Below are 20,414 nucleotides of genomic sequence, written 5' to 3'. Positions count from 1 at the left end.
AAGAAAGAAAGGAAAAAAGACAAGGAAGAGAAAAAGGGGAAAGAAGTAAAGGAGGAAGGAAAGTAAAAATAAACAAAAAGAAAGAATAGTTAAGCCTGAACAGTAACTGCCCTGCCTTGGGTGTAGGCAAACCCATGCTGACCGCCTTTCTTGCAATGCTATCACCAGAGAGTCAAGATTCCAGTGACACATTTAGACAAAGTCACCTCTAATATTTTTTTTTTCCAATCTTGGATGTACCTATAGCAGTGTTGCTCATGGCTCTGCAGATATGGGTCTTCACGAAGACAAATTAATTATCTACCTCACTGCAGCAGACTGAGGTTCAGGAGTCTCAGGCTTCAGGTCTCAACTCTGAGGAGCCATATATGTGATATCAGAAATGTCAACCTCTGTCAAAAAATAAGGATGTGATCATCAAGATCTCATCCAGTAACCTCAAAATTACATAGCTCTAAGATACTCATTGTTTCCTTGTCTGCATTTCATCAGTCTCATTACCTCCTTTCAGTTAAACCTACTTTCATTTATTTCTACTACAAATGAGTGGTAATTAATGTACAATTTATATACACTTACAAAGAGTATACATCTTACTGTTATTTAAAACCTATTCGCTTTAACAAGTTTCCCTTTGGAAATATGAAAAATGTCTATGGAAAGAAATATTATAAAATAATTCCTCGTGTTAGCAACAATTTAATGTGCTTCGGATGTGATTTCTGTCCTAAAAATGATGCATCTATAAAGATTTATCGTATATTTCAAAATAGCAAGAAGACCTAAAATGTTCTTGACACAAGGAAATGATACATGTTTGAGGTGGTTGATTTCTCTGACTTGATAATTACACATTGTATGTACCAAGATATCACATGTACACCATAAATATGTATAATTACTATGTATCTATAACAAATAATAATTTAAAAATCCATAAAAAGATGCTTCTTACACTGGATAAATTAGAATGCAAATTATATATTTTCTAAGTTGTAAAGTAATAAATAACCAAGCAGTCAGGCACATTAGATTATAATAATAATGGGTCCTGATATCATTTTCATTTATCTCAATAATCACTAGATATACAGAAGGTAGATATAATCCCCATTTTATAGATGAGAAAATGAAAAAAGACACCTAGGAAGTCATTGATGAAACATGCTCCCAGGACCAAAGCCCTTGAATCTTCCTGCCATGTATTTTATTAATGCAGTCAGTTTCTCTCTAAATCGCACCTGATTCAGTGAACCTGGACATCTCCTGCCCTGCAAAGAGTGAAAGACTTAACTATGACTAATTTTCTTTCAATTGGGTTTCTTCCAAGCATAAGAATCACAATCAATAAGTTAAATTTTGTAAACATATTTATTCTGTCAGAATACCTAGCTCAGCACTAAACCAAATATAATAAATCACTTAAAAGTTTATATGTAATGCCATGTGGTTTTTTCAAAGCATGCAGTAATATTTTGCCTATTTTTATGCTCAATTTTTATTCTAGAATTTGAAACACAACAATACTAACATACTTCTACCATATTACTAGATCACTACCAGAAGCCAAATCCACCTCTAGTGGATTATTAACATAGCCTTTAAGGAAAAATGTGCCATAGTTTTCAATCTTAAGACAAAGATTACCTTTTTAAAGCCCCCCAAAGTTAGTATGAGACTTACATATATTATTAACATTTAATTTATTTCGTTCTTTCCTTTTTTATCAGTCAATATATCGATAGCAGATCCTAGGAAATTCTGGTATCATGAAAGTAGTTCTCACTGGGAAAATTCTGGAAAGATTATGGACTATTTATTGAAAGAAAAGGAAGGAAGGAAGGAGGGAGGGAAAGAACAAAGGGAGGAAGGAAGGGAGATGGCAGAAAGAGGGGGGAGAGAGAAAGAGAGAGAGAGAAACTGTTTTCCATGAACAGCTTTGGGAATCAAGGGCTGGCATTAATTTTTTATTACCATTTTATTATTATATTCAATTATTTTGTCAAAATAAAACAAGTACAATACCTCCAGCAAGTCTTGTGCTCCTATAGAAATTAGGAACTTTTTATGGCCTCTGCTGAGAAGAGGTTTGCAGGATTACTTGATGCTTACTTAGTTTTGGCAAAGGGCACCTAGGGAGACATAACAAAAATGGACCTGACATAATCCTGAAATCTCCCTCAGCAATAAACAAGCTGTCTCTTTGCCTCTCAACACTTCTGCTAGCTTCTACTGCAGAAAATTTCTGGAAGTTGGACCGGTTTCAAGGGCACTAAAGCAGGCATGCTGCCTTGAGTCAGAGGGTACCTACTGTGGCTCCCTAAAGAGGGTTCAGGTTAAGCATCTATGAGTCATGAGAGGGCAAGCCTGCTAACCCCAGCTGCCACCTTGAAAGCACACTGTAATAGTGAGTCCTCACATGTGACAGAGGATTTCAGATTTCCTTAGCCCGTGATCCAGGATTGTTGACTTCAGTTGTTTAGTGGAAAATGTTGGTCTCTGAAGCCACAGACATGGGCTGCATTCCCGTGAGAGCCTTTCAGCTTCACATTGCTACCCTGATGCAGCCAGCTGCAGTATAACACGAAACTTTTCTCACAAAGTTTGGGAGGCACATCACCAATGTGTTGATCAGCAAATATTTATTAAACTAATCCTCTTGGAGACCAAGCCAACAGTTAAGAGCACGGGCAGTCCTGAACATAATCAAACCTACTCGATTATAGATTGGAGAAAGCCCAGAATCCAAGCCCCAAGACTGTCCCTTAATCACTATGTGAGGATAGGAAAGCGCTCAGAGCACCAGTTCCCTCATTTGTAAAATGGGGCTTACAGTCCCACCCTGGAAACATGTCTTAAGGATCACATGAAGAAGCACAGGGGAAGTGCTTGGAACAGCAGCTGCCATTTGGAAGGTGGTAACTTTGAAGTTGATATCTACCAGGAAAGTGATCACAAGGGCAGAACTCTGACTTTTCCCATTTTCCTAAGATCTATTTCTAAATTCAGTAGCATTGGCTCTCTCAGTCTAACGGCAGTCAGTCCACTGTCTCGGTGGTGGTGTTTTTTGAATCATTAATCAGAATGAATAGTCTATGGTACAGATAATACATGCTGCTGAGTTTCAGAGGACGGAGGTGTTTTCTTCAGATGCATGTTGAGGAAAAGATTCACACAGTAAAAGGTACATTCCATCTGAAAAAAACGTAGTGGGGAGGGGCGCAAAGAGCTGCTCAGTCCAACCAGAATGTATGTGTCTACCATAGAATTACAGTAATTTAACCCTGGAAAGAGGTTTAAAGGATTCTATCATTTTGTAAATGAAAAGACTGATACCTAGAGGAGGGAGTTACTAGTCTAAGGTCACAGAGCAGTTATATAACAAACACGAGACTCTATTCCAGGCCTCCAGTATCGCGGGCTCATTCTGCAGCACTGCTTCTCATTCCTTGACTTCACAGGACATAACAGCTTGACCTGCATCCTTCCTCAGTCCCTGGCATTGTTCCAACAAAGCTGATCTGAGAAATGCTAGCACAAAGGAAACCATTCCGGTGCAGTAGAAAAGGTTCTATCCCTTCTCCTACCCACAGTGTAAAATCGAGCAAGCCACTTCCACTATCTGGACTGCTAATGATGTCTTTCAGAAGCTAGTGTTTACCAAGAGCTTACATAAAGCCAGGAGCTGCTCTGGTTGAGTTATCTCTTATCGTCCACTGCCCCATAACAGCACTTTATAGAGAGGTTCATTCTCAGACTGTAACATCAGAATCAACAATCTAAGAATGTAAAGTCCCTCATCCCTGGATTTGCTGAATCAGAATTTCTGTTTGCCTAATAATACAAATTTCGGCAAATTTCCAAAACGACTCGATGCTCACAAAACTTTAAATCTTGCTGGTTCACTAGGTGATATATTCTCAGTTTTACTGATGTGCTCTAATTTTACTAACGTGAAAAAGTTGAGGCCCAGAGAAAAGTAACGTATTCATTCACACAGCTAGTTAGTGGCAAACCTGGGATTTGAATCCAGGTATTTTTTGTTTTGTTTTGAGAGTTTTCAATATTTGACCCAGAATCTAGCTGAGATTTTATTCTTTGGCAAAGCATCAGATTATCAGCTGGGGTTGACCTTCCTTCTTACCTTTCTAAATTTATAATTTTCTTAATTTCCCAACTCAACTTGCAGCTTATGTTTTATAAAGTTAGCAACTTTCACTGTCTGCCGTCATCTTCAGATCTCAGAGCTAAGGGTAATTTGGTGTTAGAATGAAAGAGAGAGATATTTGACAAGGCTGTGTCAAATTAACAAGAATTCTAACAAGGGAGTTGAGGAGTGAGAGCGGATGGTGCATTTGACGAATACTCACTGGGGTAATTCACTGTGTAATTGGCCAAATGCACAGAAGCCATCAGACTGCAGCTGCACAAGGCATCCCTGGGTGAGGTGAATTCATAGTTCCCTCTACATCTTAGACTCCCCTGAGGGTTTAGTCAGTACCTTGGTTGAGATTGATTTAGCATTCTGAAAGGGGAGCACACACACACACACACACACACACAAAACATTACTGATTAACTCTTCTACCCTTTACCAAATAGATGAAGACCATTTAGCAGACTTGGAGAGGTAACCAAGGTTCTTGGAAAATTCTTCCCTGTAACACCTGTTTTATAAATCCTATAGTCATTGACTTTTATAACTTTAAGGGATCTAAGATATTATCTAGCCCCGTGCTTCTTCATCTTTAACATGCATAAAAATGACCTAGGGATCTTATGAAAATGCAGATTCTTATTCAGTAGGTCTAGGGTAAGGCTTGAGATTCTGCATTTTTAAAAAACTTCCCAGAGATGCCAAAGCAGCTGATCTGTGGACTAAATTAAATAGCAAAGATCCATCCTAGGAAATGTAAATGAGTTATACCTGAAGTACCAACTCAGAATATCTCTTGGTTGCTGCCTTGAGAACTACACTGAGGATTCTGTAGTTGAGTCTGAGACCAGCTGGTCAATTAGCAGTGCCTAACACAGGTTTAAGAACAGGAAACCTACCTGAAGATACTCTTTCACTTTTACGTACAGAAATTGAAACCCAGAAATTTCAGTGACTTGCTCAGGGTCACATAACCAAGTTAGTGGTAGAACTAGGACTAAATAAAGCTGGAATATAAATCTAGATTTCTCTATCTGAGTTGCACATTTGAATCACAGATTGCGTGTGAAGCTGTTTTAAAATATCTTTCTTCAGTTCTATTATTGGCAGCCATAGAATCCAATTTGAATTCAAGAAGCCAGGGTTACTCAGCCTAGCTAAGTCTCTGAAAAGCTCTGCAACTTTGTGGAAAAATATTTCTCAGGACCTTTAGTTTTATTATCCATGAGATGAGGAAGTCCATGCCTGGTATGTCAAATATATTCTAATGGTGTAGATGGCAAGGAGATCAAAGATATGAAAGCAGTTAGACAAAACCTAGGGGACTTACATGAGGGCATTTTTGTTAAAATTGCTTTAGGATAACGGCCAGGCGTGGTGGCTCATACCTGTAATCCCAGCACTTTGGGAGGCCGAGGCGGGCAGATCACGAGGTGAGGAGATCGAGACCATCTTGGCTAACACGGTGAAACCCCGTCTCTACTAAAAATACAAAAAATTAGCCGGGCGTGGTGGTGGACGCCTGTAATCCCAGCTACTGGAGGCTGAGGCAGGAGAACGGCGTGAACTTGGGAGGTGGAGCTTGCAGTGAGCCGAGATTGCGCCACTGCACTCCAGCCTGGGCGACAGAGCGAGACTCCATCTCAAAAAAAAAAAAAAAATGCTGTAGCATAACTTTAAACTTTCTTTGAAGTTTTTTATTTTTTGAAAAAGATATTAAAAAATCTGTGTGTGTGTGTGTGTGTGTGCGCGCGTGCGCGTGCGTGTGCATGTGTGTGTACACGAAAGAAACCATGCCATCGTCCTAGGTTGAATTTTAACTGAAATGATTGCAATTTTGAGTTTGTGATAATGAGGCTTTTCTGATTTTCCACTCATCTTTAATGTATCTGGCCTATGAAAAATCATGCATAGGCATGGGAAGAAAGAGAGAGAGAGAAACAAGCAAGCCAGCCAGAAATCTTGGTAATGATTTCTTGTTCTGAGATAAGGTGGCTTCCAGTAGCAACAAGGCTTCATGTTTCTCCATTCATATCTAAGAGAGATGGAGATTTATTTTTATACAAAGGCTTCAAGAAAACTTTCCTTTCATTTCTCTATTTTTTAACTTCTATTTTAAGTTCAGGGGTACACGTGCAGGTTTGTTTCATAGGTAAGCTTGTGTCATGGGGGTTTGTTGTACAGATTATTTGATCACTCAGGTATTAAGCCTAGTACCCATTAGTTTTTTCCTGATCCTCTCCCTTCTCCCACCCTCCATCCTCTAGAAGGCCCTAGTGTGTGTTGTTCCCCTCAATGTGACCATGTGTTCTCATTATTTAGCTACCACTTATAAATGAGAACATGTAGCATTTGATTTTCTGTTCTTGCATTAGTTTGCTAAGGATAATGGCCTCCAGCTCCATCCATGTCCCTGCAAAGGATGTAACGTTTTTCTTTTTTATAGCTGCATAGTATTCCAGAGTATATATGTACCACTTTTTTAAAAAATTTAGGGCCAGGCGCGGTGGCTCAAGCCTGTAATCCCAGCACTTTGGGAGGCCGAGATGGGCAGATCACGAGGTCAGGAGATCGAGACCATCCTGGCTAACACGGTGAAACCCCGTCTCTACTAAAAATACAAAAAAATTAGTTGGGCATAGTGGCGGGCGCCTGTAGTCCTAGCTACTCAGGAGGCTGAGGCAGGAGAATGGCATGAACCTGGGAGGCGGAGCTTGCAGTGAGCCGAGATCACGCCACTGCACTCCAGCCTGAGCAACAGAGCGAGACTCCATCTCAAAAAAAAAAAAAAAATTTAGTCTATCACTGATGGGCATTTAGGTTGATTTCATGTCTTTGCTATTGTGAATAGTGCTACAATTAACATGCATGTGCATGTGTCTTTATAATATAAAAAATTACACTCATTTGGGTATATACCCAGTAATAGGATTGCTGGGTCAAGTGATATTTCTGTCTTTAGGTCTCTGGGAAATCGCCACACTGTCTCCCACAATGGTTGAACTAATTTACACTCCTTTCAACAGTGTATAAGCATCCCTTTTTCTCCACAACTTCATCAGCATTTGTTGTTTTTTGACTTTTTAATAATAACCATTCTGACTGGTGTGAGATGGTATCTCATTGTGGTTTTGATTTGCATTTCTCCAATAATCAGTGATGTAAAGCTTTTTTTCATATGATTATTGGCCATATGTGTGTCTTCTTTTGAAAAGTGTCTGTTCGTGTACTTTGTCCACTTTTTGATAGAGTTGTTTATTTTTGTCTTGTAAATTTGCTTAAGTTTCTTATAGATGCTGGATATTAAACCCTTGCCAGATGCATTGTTTGCAAAAATGTTCTCTCATTCTGTAAGTTGTTTACTCTGTTGATAGTTTTGTTTGCCGTGCAGGAGCTCTTTAGTTTAATCACACCTCATTTGTCAATCTTTCTGTTGTTGTTACTGCTTTTGGTGTCTTCATCATGAAGTCTTTGACTGTGTCTATGTCCTGAATTGTATTGCCTAGGTTGTTTTCTGGGTTTTTATCATTTTAGGTTTTACATTTAAGTCTTTAATCTGTCTTGAGTTAATTTTTGTACATAGTGTAAGGAAGGTGTTCAGTTTCAATCATCTGCATATGGCTAGCCAGTTATCCTAGCAACATTTATTGAATAGGATTCCTTTCCCCATTGCTTGTTTTTGTCAGGTTTGTAGAAGATCAGATAGTTGTAGATGTGTGGTCTTATTTCTGGGTCCTCTATTCTGCTCCATTGGTATATGTGTCTGTTCTTGTACCAGTACCATGCTGTTTTGATTACTGTAGCCCTACAGCATAATTTGAAGTCGGGTAGAGTGATGCCTCCAGCTTTGTCCTTTTTGCTTATGATTGCCTTGGCTATTTGGGCTCCTTTTTGGTACTTTAGGAATTTGGTTCTATATGGATAGTTTTTTCTAGTTCTGAGAAGAATATCCATGATAGTTTAATATGCATAGTATTGAATCTGTAAGTTGCTTATGGGCAGTATGGCCATTTTAATGATATTGATTCTTCCTATCCATTAGCATGGAATGTTTTTCTCTTTTCATTTCATTGGCTCAATTGATGTAGTCCTTCCCATTCCTGAACCAATCTTTGGCAAGGGAGGGGAGGTACCAAGACTGACTTAAAACAATCAGGCCTACACCTAAACAGGGGGTCAGTCTCAACTATTGTCACAATGGATGGGATTGATTTAACTACAACATCCACTGTGAGAAGCTAGAGAGAAAATATAAAGAATTAGTCAGCTGGGCATGGTGGCTCACGCCTGTAATCCCAGCACTTTGTGAGGCCGAGGCGGGCAGATCACGAGGTCAGGAGATCGAGACCATCCTGGCCAACATGGTGAAACCCCATCTCTACTAAAAATACAAAAAAAAATTAGCCGGGTGTGGTGGTGGGCGCCTGTAGTCCCAGCTACTCAGGAGGCTGAGGCAGGAGAATGGCATGAACCCAGGAGGCGGAGCTTGCAGTGAGCCAAGATTGCTCCACTGCACTCCAGCCTGGGCAACAGAGCGAGACTCGGTCAAAAAAAAAAAAAAAGAATTAGTCTTATCTGCCTATATAAATCAATGAATTTATATATTCTCTCTCAGGTAGAGAAGTTTAAAGTTGCAAGTATCCATAGCAATGGGTACCTTTTGTTACACGTCTAACAAAACATCTAACACCTACCCCCATGTATGTCAGACATGAGGGTAGGCTCCATAACTATCTTATCTCACCAAAAAGAATATGATTTTTTTCTCAGTCTTAAAACATCCCTACAAATACCATTGCTCATTTTAAGATTAGGTCATAGAACTTCATTTGAAAGATGAAGAAACGAAGGCTCAACTAAGCAATGGAACATGCCCAAGCTCACATAGCTAATCAGCAGAGGAGCTAGCATTCAAAGCTGATTCCAAACCTCATGTCCTCAACACTTAAGAAACTGTATAAATGGTCTTATCTACACTGGAATTCAGGATGCTACTTTCAAAAGACCATCTACAAAATGTGATTTTATATTATTATTTCAGCAGATATTTATTGAGTCCTTACCAAATATGTGCCTTGCCCTCGCAGTGACCACATTCTAATGTGAAGACAGAGGTTAAACAAATTCCTTTAGAAGTAATATATAATTATAAATGGAAATAAGAGCAGTGAAGGAAGTGCCTACATTGCTATAATGGGGCGCCTGATCAGGTAAGGGAAGATCAGGAAAGACTTCCTCATGAAAAAAGAATTTGAACTGAGGTCTGAAAGATGGGAGCTGTGTAGTGGTGAGGAAGGAGGAAGAAGGATCATCCTCCTCTCAATTATATGATGCAGCAAATATTAGAAATCCCTTGGTTCTATTCAAACAGCTGCACATCATTTAGCATCAACCATGCGCTAGTAAGAATTTGACTTTAGCTTATAAATGCTTTTTGCAGTTAGTTATTTGCCATACATATTTGTTATAAAGACATTTGTTCCATAATCACACTCCCCTTAGCATTAGGTATTTGGCTTTTGCTGGACACAGTGCGCACAGGCTTACCAGCATACACTGAGTTATTTTGATGACATCATGTTTTATTAATTAGTGCTGAGTCAGTTCCCTTCAGTGCTTCTAATTTTTTTAAGCACAGCTACTAGATCCAATGCTAGTTGAGCATTAAACGTGTGTCAAAACTTTTTCTCACAGGATTCAGTAATCCATGAGATTCCATGTACCCTCCCCATCCAACTCATCTCAGTTCAAGATCTCTGTTTTGGCACTACCCTCATGCCCCCTGCTATTCAAGAACCAAATGTAACTCGGAATCTGTAGAAGCGAAGTCCACTGGCTGTGTTCCCCACACACCTATGAAAAAGAAGGCTGCTGCTTCTCTGTTAACCTTTTGTTCTGTGTTCACTGGGAGTCCTGCCATAAGGTTTGCATTAGGTCAGCTTTCTGGCTTCTTGGACAAATAAATAAAAAACAAGAGGAGGTAGGAGTAGGAATATATGGAAAAAAATATCTCTATACATCTGAGTAGAAATTTTTATAGTCCAGATGGGGTTTGTGAAGTCTCTGAGCTTAGAAATTCTTTTTCAGTCAATATCTTCCAGGGAGAAAAAGTTGTCAGATTTTTAGAAGGATTCAAACATTAGTGCCTTGCCTCAGGGCGACAGAAACCAAACCTTGGCTTCTCTGCTTCCAACAGAAAACTAGAGGCAGGTTATAATTTCCCTCTTGCCTGGAACTGAGGCAGTGACTGGTTTTGTATGTCCAAACCCATCCTCATTACTTTTTGAGACAAGATTGACGTCAGTTTCAAAACCCATGAACAAGAGAGAACCATGAGTCCTCCAACGACCTGGGAAGATTTGGATGACAACCTTTAAGTCAGTCATGACCTGTCAGTAAATCTTGAAACTTAACATGATCCACTTTCACATTTACTACTCACTGTCAGAGATTTTGGAAGATTATAAAGGGGAAAGGAGTATGGCTGTCAGCCACCCCTTTTCCCTCTTAGTGATGTGCACTGTCATCATCATTGACAATATGTATAATCCCAGGGAAAAAAACATAGCTCCTTTTCTCCTAACATTTGGCTCTTCTCCCCACTGCCTTTACTCCTGTGCATTAGAAATGGTTGACTGACTGGACTGTCTCCAGTCTTGTGGAAAGAAACCAAAACAAATGTCCTCTGTGGTGTTATTTAAAAGTGGATTGGGATACTTTGAATTACTAGGTAAATGGTGTGTACAAAAATCTTTAGCAAGTCATCACCCATAATGCTTTTGAGTTGTGTGAACCAGCTAATGAAAAGATTAGATCAGTTATCTCTCTCCAGGTTGGGAGTTGAGTCAATAAGCTAGATGAAAATTAAACTAGAACAAGCCTTCACCTGTCAGGATGTAAGCTCACAGGTGTTAAAACTTCTTTGAGTTATCAGGATTGGGTAGGCAGATTCTCATTCCTACCTCCCTGAAACTTGTCAAAAATAGGATTTGGAGCTTATGTAAGCTCATTGCAAAACTTAACTTCATTCTGCACTTCCTGAGGGTTCATAATAATTTGAAGCCAATGCCTTCTTTGAATGAAAGAAATGTCTATTAAAATTGATATATCGGCCGGGCGTGGTGGCTCACGCCTGTAGTCCCAGCACTTTGGGAGGCCGAGGTGGGTGGATCATGAGGTCAGGAGATCGAGACCATCCTGGCTAACAGGGTGAAACCCCGTCTCTACTAAAAATACAAAAAATTAGCCGGGCGCGGTGGCGGGCGCCTGTAGTCCCAGCTACTCGGGAGGCTGAGGCAGGAGAATGGCGTGAACCCGGGAAGCGGAGCTTGCAGTGAGCCGAGATTGCGCCACTGCAGTCCGCAGTCCGGCCTGGGCGACAGAGCGAGACTCCGTCTCAAAAAAAAAAAAAAAAAAAAAAAAAATTGATATATCATAAATATAGTTTTCTTCCCCTTTTCCTTCTTCAGGTGTTTTCAATCTGATCCCAATCTTTTTCCCCATACAACGAAAATGAATCCCTACTTTCAACCTTAATTGAAACTAGTAGCCTGTACTTTATAATAAGAGGCACCCAGAAATAATTCTAGCCTTCTAAAAGAAATTATTCAATTCATCATGCATTTTATTAAATGTGCTTTAATAATATTAAATGTAACAATTCGAATGTACTGTTCTCTCCCCAAAATTTAACATTCATCTTCCTATCTCAACCTGAATATTATTCTTTAAAAAAAAAAACAAATCAGTGATCTATAGTTTATTTACCATTCTTAATGAATTCCACATAAATTAACAGATATATAGAAAGGAACCATTTTCCAAAAGAAATGAATTTGATGCTGTGAGAGTAAAAGAAATGGAAGATACCAAGCCACAAAAAATTAAGCAGGCTCCTCAAGAATTTCTAATCCAAAGGGTTACTAGAGAAGTTGCCACAGCAAGGCCTACACAGTGTGGAAAAGAAATACTAGCACTGGGTCAAGATCACAGCAAGGAAGCTACAAGACTATGGGATTTTTGCCAGGCAAATTTTTCTTAACCTTCATCCCTCTGTTATGCCATACATGTTTTAAAGGCAGTAGGTAATTCTATATTAAATGGAAGTGGAAGGCAAATTTTTAATAAATTAAATTGAAAAGGAATTTGATGCAGCAGCCTGTGGGCTAAACCCTTAGACCAAGATGTGATTTGGGCCACTATAATATTTAAAGTTTGGAATTTAAATGTCCTTCAGAAGGGCTTTTGTGTTTTAGTCTAGTTCATTGCAGGATGAACTTTTCCCTAATCTCCACTACACCTGCTTCACGTTCTTATATGACCTCCCTAGCCTTATTTGAAAGTGTGATCCCAGACTTACTCTAGCCCTCTCAGTAATTCAATTTAGTAAGTATTGTTTGGAATACTTACTTTGTACCAACGGTAATGGTCAGCTTTAGGGATACTTAAGCAACAAGACACAGTCCCTGCCCACATGTTTCCCATCATAAAGGAAACACGAATTTGTTGAACTTATAGTTAGAGGATTGAAACTGGGGGAGGGAGTTAGCAGAAGATTCCACAAGGCCATCTAAATAAAGAACACTGAGGGCCAGAGACAGTAACATGGGATTAGAACCTGCGCTCATCTCTGAGGTTAGTGTTATTTTCATTCTGTTTGTGGGCTTTGAGAGGGGCAGGAACCCCTTTGAGAAGGACCATAAGGCAAAGGGGTGTCAGTTCTCTTGGCAGCTCATGCTTTCGAAGGTCTTCTCACCACCTTGCAATTAATACAGATTAATTAATTAACTGTATCTTCTGGGATCTTTTGAAGAGTAAAATCTTACTCTTCTCTTTGTACTCCACATATCTGCCTCTTACTTCCTGCAAAACCATCATCACTTGAAACAGCAGTGTAAAGCTATACATGTTCACTTGATTTACCCACTTGATCAGATTAATTATTTTGTGTCAGAAGTAGAAGATGACATAGGTCCCCGATCCATAAAGAATGAATTCATTAATTTGATTCTTTAACAAAGGTTTTGTTTACTAAGGAAACGTGAAGATAGGCATTCAGGTGGCTTACTCATTACAATTTAAAATTTAAGAATCAAAACAACAACAACTAGATAGCATCATATCTTAGAGCCAACAGCGTCCACTTCATAAGTATCTTTTCGTTATATATTGAAAACAATTAGTAGAAAAAGCATAGGTTTGAATCCATAAACATAAGTTTAAATTATTGTTTTACAACTTACCTAGCTTCGAACAAGCCATGAATTTCTGTGTTTTGATGGGAAGGGCTGTTATAAAATGCTGGTAGTACTAACTCCATTCTCATAGTCTGGCTGTAAGATTTAACTTTATCATTGCATAATAGAAGTTAAAAAGGCAGAGTAAAAAGAATTCTCACTCTTTTATTCCTACCATTTTTTATTAAAAATTACTTTCATAAAACTACCTGGGTATTTTAGCAGTATTTCCTGTTTACTTTCCAGTTCCAAACTCCCAATTTTTGTTGGTATTGCTCCATTTTCTTCAGCACAGAGATTTGAAGAGTCAAAGATGTTGGCCCTCCCTTGCTCTCATAGAATTTGCATTTCATATTCTGATTGAGTGAACTTTCTTTGACCTCTTAAAACACTAAGTGCATGGTAGGTAGTCTCAGAGTGCTATTTTTGGAAAGAGCGCTTTGGATATTCCCAGGGGATTAACAGTCCATTGCTTAAGCATTTCAAGTCACTTGGGTCACAGTGCCATTTCATGGAAGATAAAACACCATCTCCTCTACCCACACACAAGTCACAGTAACTGGAAATTTCACAGTTAGGATTTCTTGGATTTTTACAATTTCTCACTCTTCTCTTGATGATATGACTGGTGAACTTGGATTTCAGATAGTCCCATTTCCCCTTTGCAAGGTAAGCCTGTGATGTTGTTAGGTTATTGAGGGATTTGAGTTGTTTTTCTGTATATGACTATAGACTATCACAAGGACATCTCTCCAGAGTATATTCCTACCATGAAGAAAGTTGCAGGAAGGGAAGCAGCAAGCCTAAACCAAACTTGGAATTAACTGATTATTATATAAAAATAAGGTCCCCTCTTCAGGGTTTAATACAATATATTTTAAATAAAATGGAACTCTGTTAACCAAGCCTGTTTCTTTTCTTGTCATGAAAAATGTTAGGATAGACACAGAAAGAGGGGAAAGGAAACTTCTTAATCCAAAACATTTAACATGATGGTTGTTAGAACCATCATCACATGGGTCAGTCTGGAAAATAATTCAAGTCCGCAGTGAAGTCCATTTTTCAACCAACAGAACAGCTGATTCAGTTGCTATACAAACTGCCCTCATTCACAGAGGATCATCTGGAGAAGGCTCTGGAATGTTAGTGCAAATAAATCAGTCCATCTTAAAATTTCAGCACTTGTTTCTTGATTGATAAGCACAATAATTCCAGATAAAGCATGATTTCCAGAATAGATAGTTGAATTGGAAGCAGGAGACTTCTTTGTTGGCATCGGCATGCTTGATAGAGCCTCTCCAAAAAACCTTGTCAGGAATGGACTTGGGATTTAAAGCTGGACTGGGAAGCAGGAGACTTCTTTGTTGGCATTGGCATGCTTAATAGAGCCTCTCCAAAAAACCTTGTCAGGAATGGACTTGGGAGTTAAAGCTGGACTAGAAAGCAGATGGTAAGGAGCCTTGTACTGAAGCAAGGCCTGCAGCATAGGTCCTTGTAAAGGCAATTTATCTGCAGAGAATAGCAGTTTATTCACCAGTCTACCTCTTCCCTCCCTCTCGTTTCATTTACTTTTGCTTCTTCCTCCCTCTTGTTTCAACTACTAACAACAAAATTCCCATGGCCCCTTGAATAGGCAAAAATGCCAAGACAGAAAAATTTGATAAATATTTTTCTATGTTTTCCAGGGCAATAGAGATTGCCACATGGTCCTTCTGATTGGTTAAAGGGAAATTGTCTTTCTTTAATGTCCTAATCGAAAAAAAAAAAGAAAGAAAGAAAGTTTAGTGGTTTCTCTTGTGTCTGCACTGCTCAAGTGAAGAGAAAGATAATCAGGAAATCCATTTGGGCAAGTCTAAAAGGGCTGGTGTGGAAACTCGATTTTAAGGATTAGCTAAATTCATGTGACCATTATTATGTCTTCCATTTGCTAAAATTGAGTCCCCTAAATATAGCCTGGTACAGAGAAGGCACACCAAGACAGAACTCGTAATTGAGGAGAGTTTTGAGAATGCAGTTGTATAGTTTGGTAATTGGGAACAGAAACCTTGGAACAAACAGGTTAAATGCCAGCTCCATTGCTTACTGTGTAACTCCGGGCCAATTGCTAACTATCCCTAATTCTCAATTTCCTCATTTTTAGAATTGGAATATTAATAATCCTGTTTATAGGGCTTTCAAGATCAACATTAAATAGGATAGTTGTGTAAAACCTTTAATGCAATGCCTGCCTCCAGTAAATACTCAATAAATGGAAGCTGCATATGTTGTTCTCTGTCTATGAAAGCTGTTTTTCAGCTTGGTGGTGTGGACTGTGGTCAGTCTCCAGCTTGTGTATTACTTCTCTGGCCTCTGCTACTCCTTTATTTGAAGTCGTTCTGTCCAATAGACTAGCAGTTTTCCAAGTGTGGACACCAAGCCAGCATCCCAGCATCACCTGGGAACTTGTTAGAAATGCAGATTACTGAGATTCATTCCAGATTTACTCACTTAGGAGTCCTGGGAGTGGAGACCAGACCTGTTTTAACAAGGCCTCCAGAGTAGTCTGATATGCATTCAAGTGTGGGAAGCACTGAAATAGACTATCCCTCACCAAACCACTACCTGAGTCAGGTTTCCCTGGTTGATTTTAAGACAGGCTAGAGGCAACATGGAATATTACTGGATTAAGATAAACATCAACAACCCAGAATTGTTAAAATGTTCTATGACTTATTTGTCATAAGATTTTGGGTAATTCAGTTCATTTTTCTGAACTTCAGTTTCCTGCCCTGTCAAATGGGAATGTATCCTGTTCTGCTGCTGTTCTGCTGTGGTGTAGTAGGCCTCCAAAAAAGTAAAAATTAAAAATAGAAAGTACCTTATGAAAACAGATATTTCAAAGGAGAAAAAGGAATGATAATTGCTATTGAATTTAACATCTAGATTTGTAAAGTCATTTTTTCTTTTATATAAACAGTAAAAGAGATTAAAATTCAATAAACTTACGGGTAGTTTACGTGCAGGCTTTCTCCACTTTTACCCTTTAAAACACATGTAAAAGGTCCTGTCAATCTCCTATACTTTTGCTCTTGACCTTGTAATTTTGCTCCCAACACATCTCACACCTTGTGAAGTGAAAAGAAGAACAATAAACAAGACAAGGAAAAGAAAGGGAAATGATGCCAGTTTAGCAGTCAGCCACTAAAATTTAGCAGCACCTATGTTCTTTAGGTCCTAGCCTAAAATATTGAAACCCAACACTGTTCTGCATACTGAAGATGGTATTATTGTAATAGATTTTCCTAGTTATAAGAAAATTTGAGTTTTGCAAATTTTTGTTATAAATTAAATGCCTCTAATTTCCATCCTGCCCTACCTATACTGTCTTATAGAGTTGTTGAGATCTTTAAATGAGATGAATTAAATGAGATCTTTAAATGAGATGAATCTGTTAGGATTCTTTGGAATGCAAATAACAGAAAAACAAAGTAATACTGGCTTAAGAAAGAAAGAGAGAAGGGAGCAGGTGAGAAAGAGGAATAAGAAGGAGGAAGAGGAGGAAGAGGGAAAGAGGGAGAGAAAGAAAGAGGAAGGGACAGGGGAAGGAAGGAAGATAATATACTGTCTTGCTTAGCATCAGCAAGTCAGATATGTCCAGATATAGACACAAGGCACCATTAGATCACAGACTCTTCATTTTAGTGTTGGCTTCTTTCCAAATTAGCATCTCCTCTTACAGTTGAACCATCTCAGCAGATTCTGTTGATTTGGGGCCACTCACTTCTAGGTGCAGATCCAGGGAGAAAATTTGAGAGTCTACTCTGCTATTCCCATCTGAAGACTCACGGCATGCCATTGGCTCAGAAAAGGCATGAGCCCAACGCTGAGTCAATTATGGTGTCAGAATGGCTCTGATTGGCCTACACCCACAGCAGAGACATAGTAACTGAGAATGGGGAAGTGGTGGTTTCCCATACAGAAATGGGAGTGCGTGGTGCTTGATGAACAGGCAAAGCACAGATGTCTATTCTCTTTACTTGCAAGTGCTGCAGTTAGCAGGACTCTGAAATTTAGTGACATATTTAACTGTAGACATTCTTATCCATCCTTCATTAAGGAAAATTTTGCAAGCCTACCCTGCCCCTCCAGTTGACTGCCCCTACCATGCACTGAGAGTGCCTTATTTTATGAGCCATGGAATGCTGCAGGGATTATCTGGGTGGCTGCCATGCCTCAGTATGAAAAAGCATAAAAATAGCCAGTTCTCCTTCTTGCTCTGCCACCTATTCAGTACATAAACTTGTATTAAGTGTCTTAACCTCTCTGTGTCTTATTTTCCACACATGAGATCAGTGCCTGCCCCACAGGGATACTGGGATAACTGAAAGAGGTCAATATGTAAAATGGTTAGTTATGGCTTCTAATTGTACTCACAAAGTTCCTTTCTCTAGGGTTAAAAAGGGGCATCTGATATGGAAGTAGCACTATGGAAAATAACAGTTTACAGATCTCAGGTACTTGAGCATGCTGCTCTAGCAAGAGACCTGTATAAATAAAGGCAGAAGCCTTAGAGCAGGGAAGAAACTCAAGAGGTGGTCCCAGAAGTTCCAGTCTTTAGGCTGGTGTTGCAAAGTTAAACCCATCTTATTGATGACTCACAAAGAGGTGAAGTGAGTTACTAAGAGTTCACAAAATTAATTCCATTAATAAATATTTACTTATTGAGCATCTGCTATGTGCCAGGTGCCATGCCAGAAGTTTGGGAATGGAATAATGAGTGAGACAGATTTTGTGTCTCTCTTCATCAAGAAGTATAGTATGGTGGGGAAGACAGAAATAAAGTAAATAATATAGGCACGGGCAAAGATTTCATGATTAAAATGCCAAAAGTAATGGCAACAAAAGCCAAAATTGACAAATGGGATCTAATTAAACTAAAGAGCTTCTGCACAGCAAAAGAAATGATCATCAGAGTGAACAGGCAACCTACAGAATGGGAGAAAGTGTTTGGAATCTATTCATCTGACAATGGGCTAATATCCAGAATCTATAAGGAACTTAAACAAATTAACAAGAGAAAAACAACCCCATCAAAATGTGGATGAAGGATATGAACAGACGCTTCCCAAAAGAAGACATTTATGTGGCCAACAAACGTGAAAAAAAGCTCATCATCACTGGTCATTAGAGAAATGCAAATCAAAACCACAATGAGATACCATCTCAGGCCAGTTAGAATGGCAATCATTAAAAAGTCAGGAAACAACAGATGCTGGAGAGGATGTGGAGAAATAGGAACACTTTTACACTGTTAGTGGGAGTGTAAATTAGTTCAACCATTGTGGAAGACAGTGTGGCGATTCCTAAAAGACCTAGAACCAGAAATACCGCTTGACCCAGCAATCCCATTACCGAGTATATACTCAAAAGAATATAAATCATTCTACTATAAAGACACATGCACACATATGTTTATTGCAACACTATTCACAATAGCAAAGAATTGGAACCAACCCAAATGCCAATCAATGATAGACTTGATAAAGAAAATGTGACACGTATATACCATGGAATACTATACAGCCATAAAAAAGGACGAGTCCATATCCCTTGCAAGGACATGGATGAAGCTGGAAACCATCATTCTCAGCAAATTAAGATAGGAACAGAAAACCAAACACTACATGTTCTCACTCATAAGTGGGAGTTGAACAATGAGAACACATAGACACAGGGAAGGGAACATCACACACCAAGGCCTGTCAGGGGGTGGGGGACTAGGGGAGGGATAGCATTAGGAGAAATACCTAATGTAGATGACTGGTTGATGGGTGCAGCAAACCACCATGGCACGTTTATACCTATGTAACAAACCTGCATGTTCTGCACATGTGTCCCAGAACTTAATGTAAAATAATAAAAATTAAAATAAGCAGTCTATTTTAAGTTGAAGTATTCTGTTGATATGAAAGACACTAAGGAGTAGCTGCACTTCATAAATTGATACAGGTGTTCAATACACCTCACCTTCCCCACCCTACCACCCTCCCACTTCAGCCTGTCAAGATCTCTAGTAAGGCTGAGATGATTTTTACCTATAGAAATTTCATCACTCATACATCTACACCACAAGGGCAACATACTTAATTTTCTTTTAGGTATAATTATTTGTTGTTTTTTGCCATGTCAGTGGAACCAGTAAGTAAATAAACTTCATCTATGGCATGTCATAATAATCAACTTTGCCTGGTGCTTTAGTTTTTCCAAGTTTTTCTTCACATATTTTATTTCAGTTAGTCTTCCCGAATCCTATTCTTAGTCCACAGAAGAAACTAGATTGAAAGGATTAGGTAATTTTTCCAGGTCAAAAATAACAAACGGAAGAGCCATAAGTACAATCTTTTGACTCTGACTCCAACCCCAGTATTATTTTGGAGATTGTTATTCCCACTAGGATGCAGCAGCAATTCCGTCTTTCTCACCGCTGTACCTGTGATGCTTGGCATAGGGCCAAACACACATTGGATGTTCAATCATTTTTTTTTTAATTCATGAATAAAAAATTATGTAACTAATAGAACTTTATGAATTACCTAATTCAACTCTTGAATTTGGATAATGAAACAGAAACCCACTAAGATTAAATAAATTACTCAAAAATAATTTGTTTTAAGCTTTAGGCAAATTTCCCTTAATAGGAATCCATAGCTGCCAATAATTTTTATTATGATCATTATTGCTATGTTATAGTTTGAACTCAGCCAGGTCTGGTGTCAACTCATAACTCTTCTTATTATAATTGCTCAGTAGAGAAGCAAATATCCTGGTGGTTAAAGAAGGGAAATTTCTGAACAACATCATGCATGGTGGCCAAGGAAATTTTGCAAATTAAGTTATTTTCCAAGTCACTAAAGCAAGTTAACAACCCAGAGAAGAAGAGAAAACAACCATGCTGTTGAAATAACAGTAAAGGATAGGTGTCCCATTTCCATCAGGTTTACTTTCCTTAAGTGTTGGAAAGGACTCCCCACTCCCAGCATTTC

At 38.8% G+C, this 20,414-nt stretch overlaps 1 protein-coding gene across 3 annotated transcripts in view, besides 2 other annotated features; it reads left to right on the top strand.

Moving 5' to 3' along the window:
• Positions 1-20,414, top strand: part of GABRB2 (gamma-aminobutyric acid type A receptor subunit beta2) — a 259,969-nt gene that overhangs the window by 231,823 nt on the left and 7,732 nt on the right. The window lies entirely within an intron of this gene.
• Positions 5,041-5,270: an enhancer, noted in NCBI's record as "active region_23574". NCBI's record gives its function as "activates an Ori minimal core promoter by ATAC-STARR-seq in GM12878 lymphoblastoid cells {active_cell/tissue: GM12878}" and the evidence as "EXISTENCE:reporter gene assay evidence [ECO:0000049][PMID:35858748]".
• Positions 17,149-17,208: an enhancer, noted in NCBI's record as "active region_23573". NCBI's record gives its function as "activates an Ori minimal core promoter by ATAC-STARR-seq in GM12878 lymphoblastoid cells {active_cell/tissue: GM12878}" and the evidence as "EXISTENCE:reporter gene assay evidence [ECO:0000049][PMID:35858748]".

Source organism: Homo sapiens, chromosome 5, assembly GCF_000001405.40.
Source record: "Homo sapiens chromosome 5, GRCh38.p14 Primary Assembly".
NCBI lineage: Eukaryota > Metazoa > Chordata > Mammalia > Primates > Hominidae > Homo > Homo sapiens.
The sequence above is the reverse complement of the archived record's forward strand: the minus strand, read 5'-3'. Positions and strand labels throughout refer to the sequence as shown.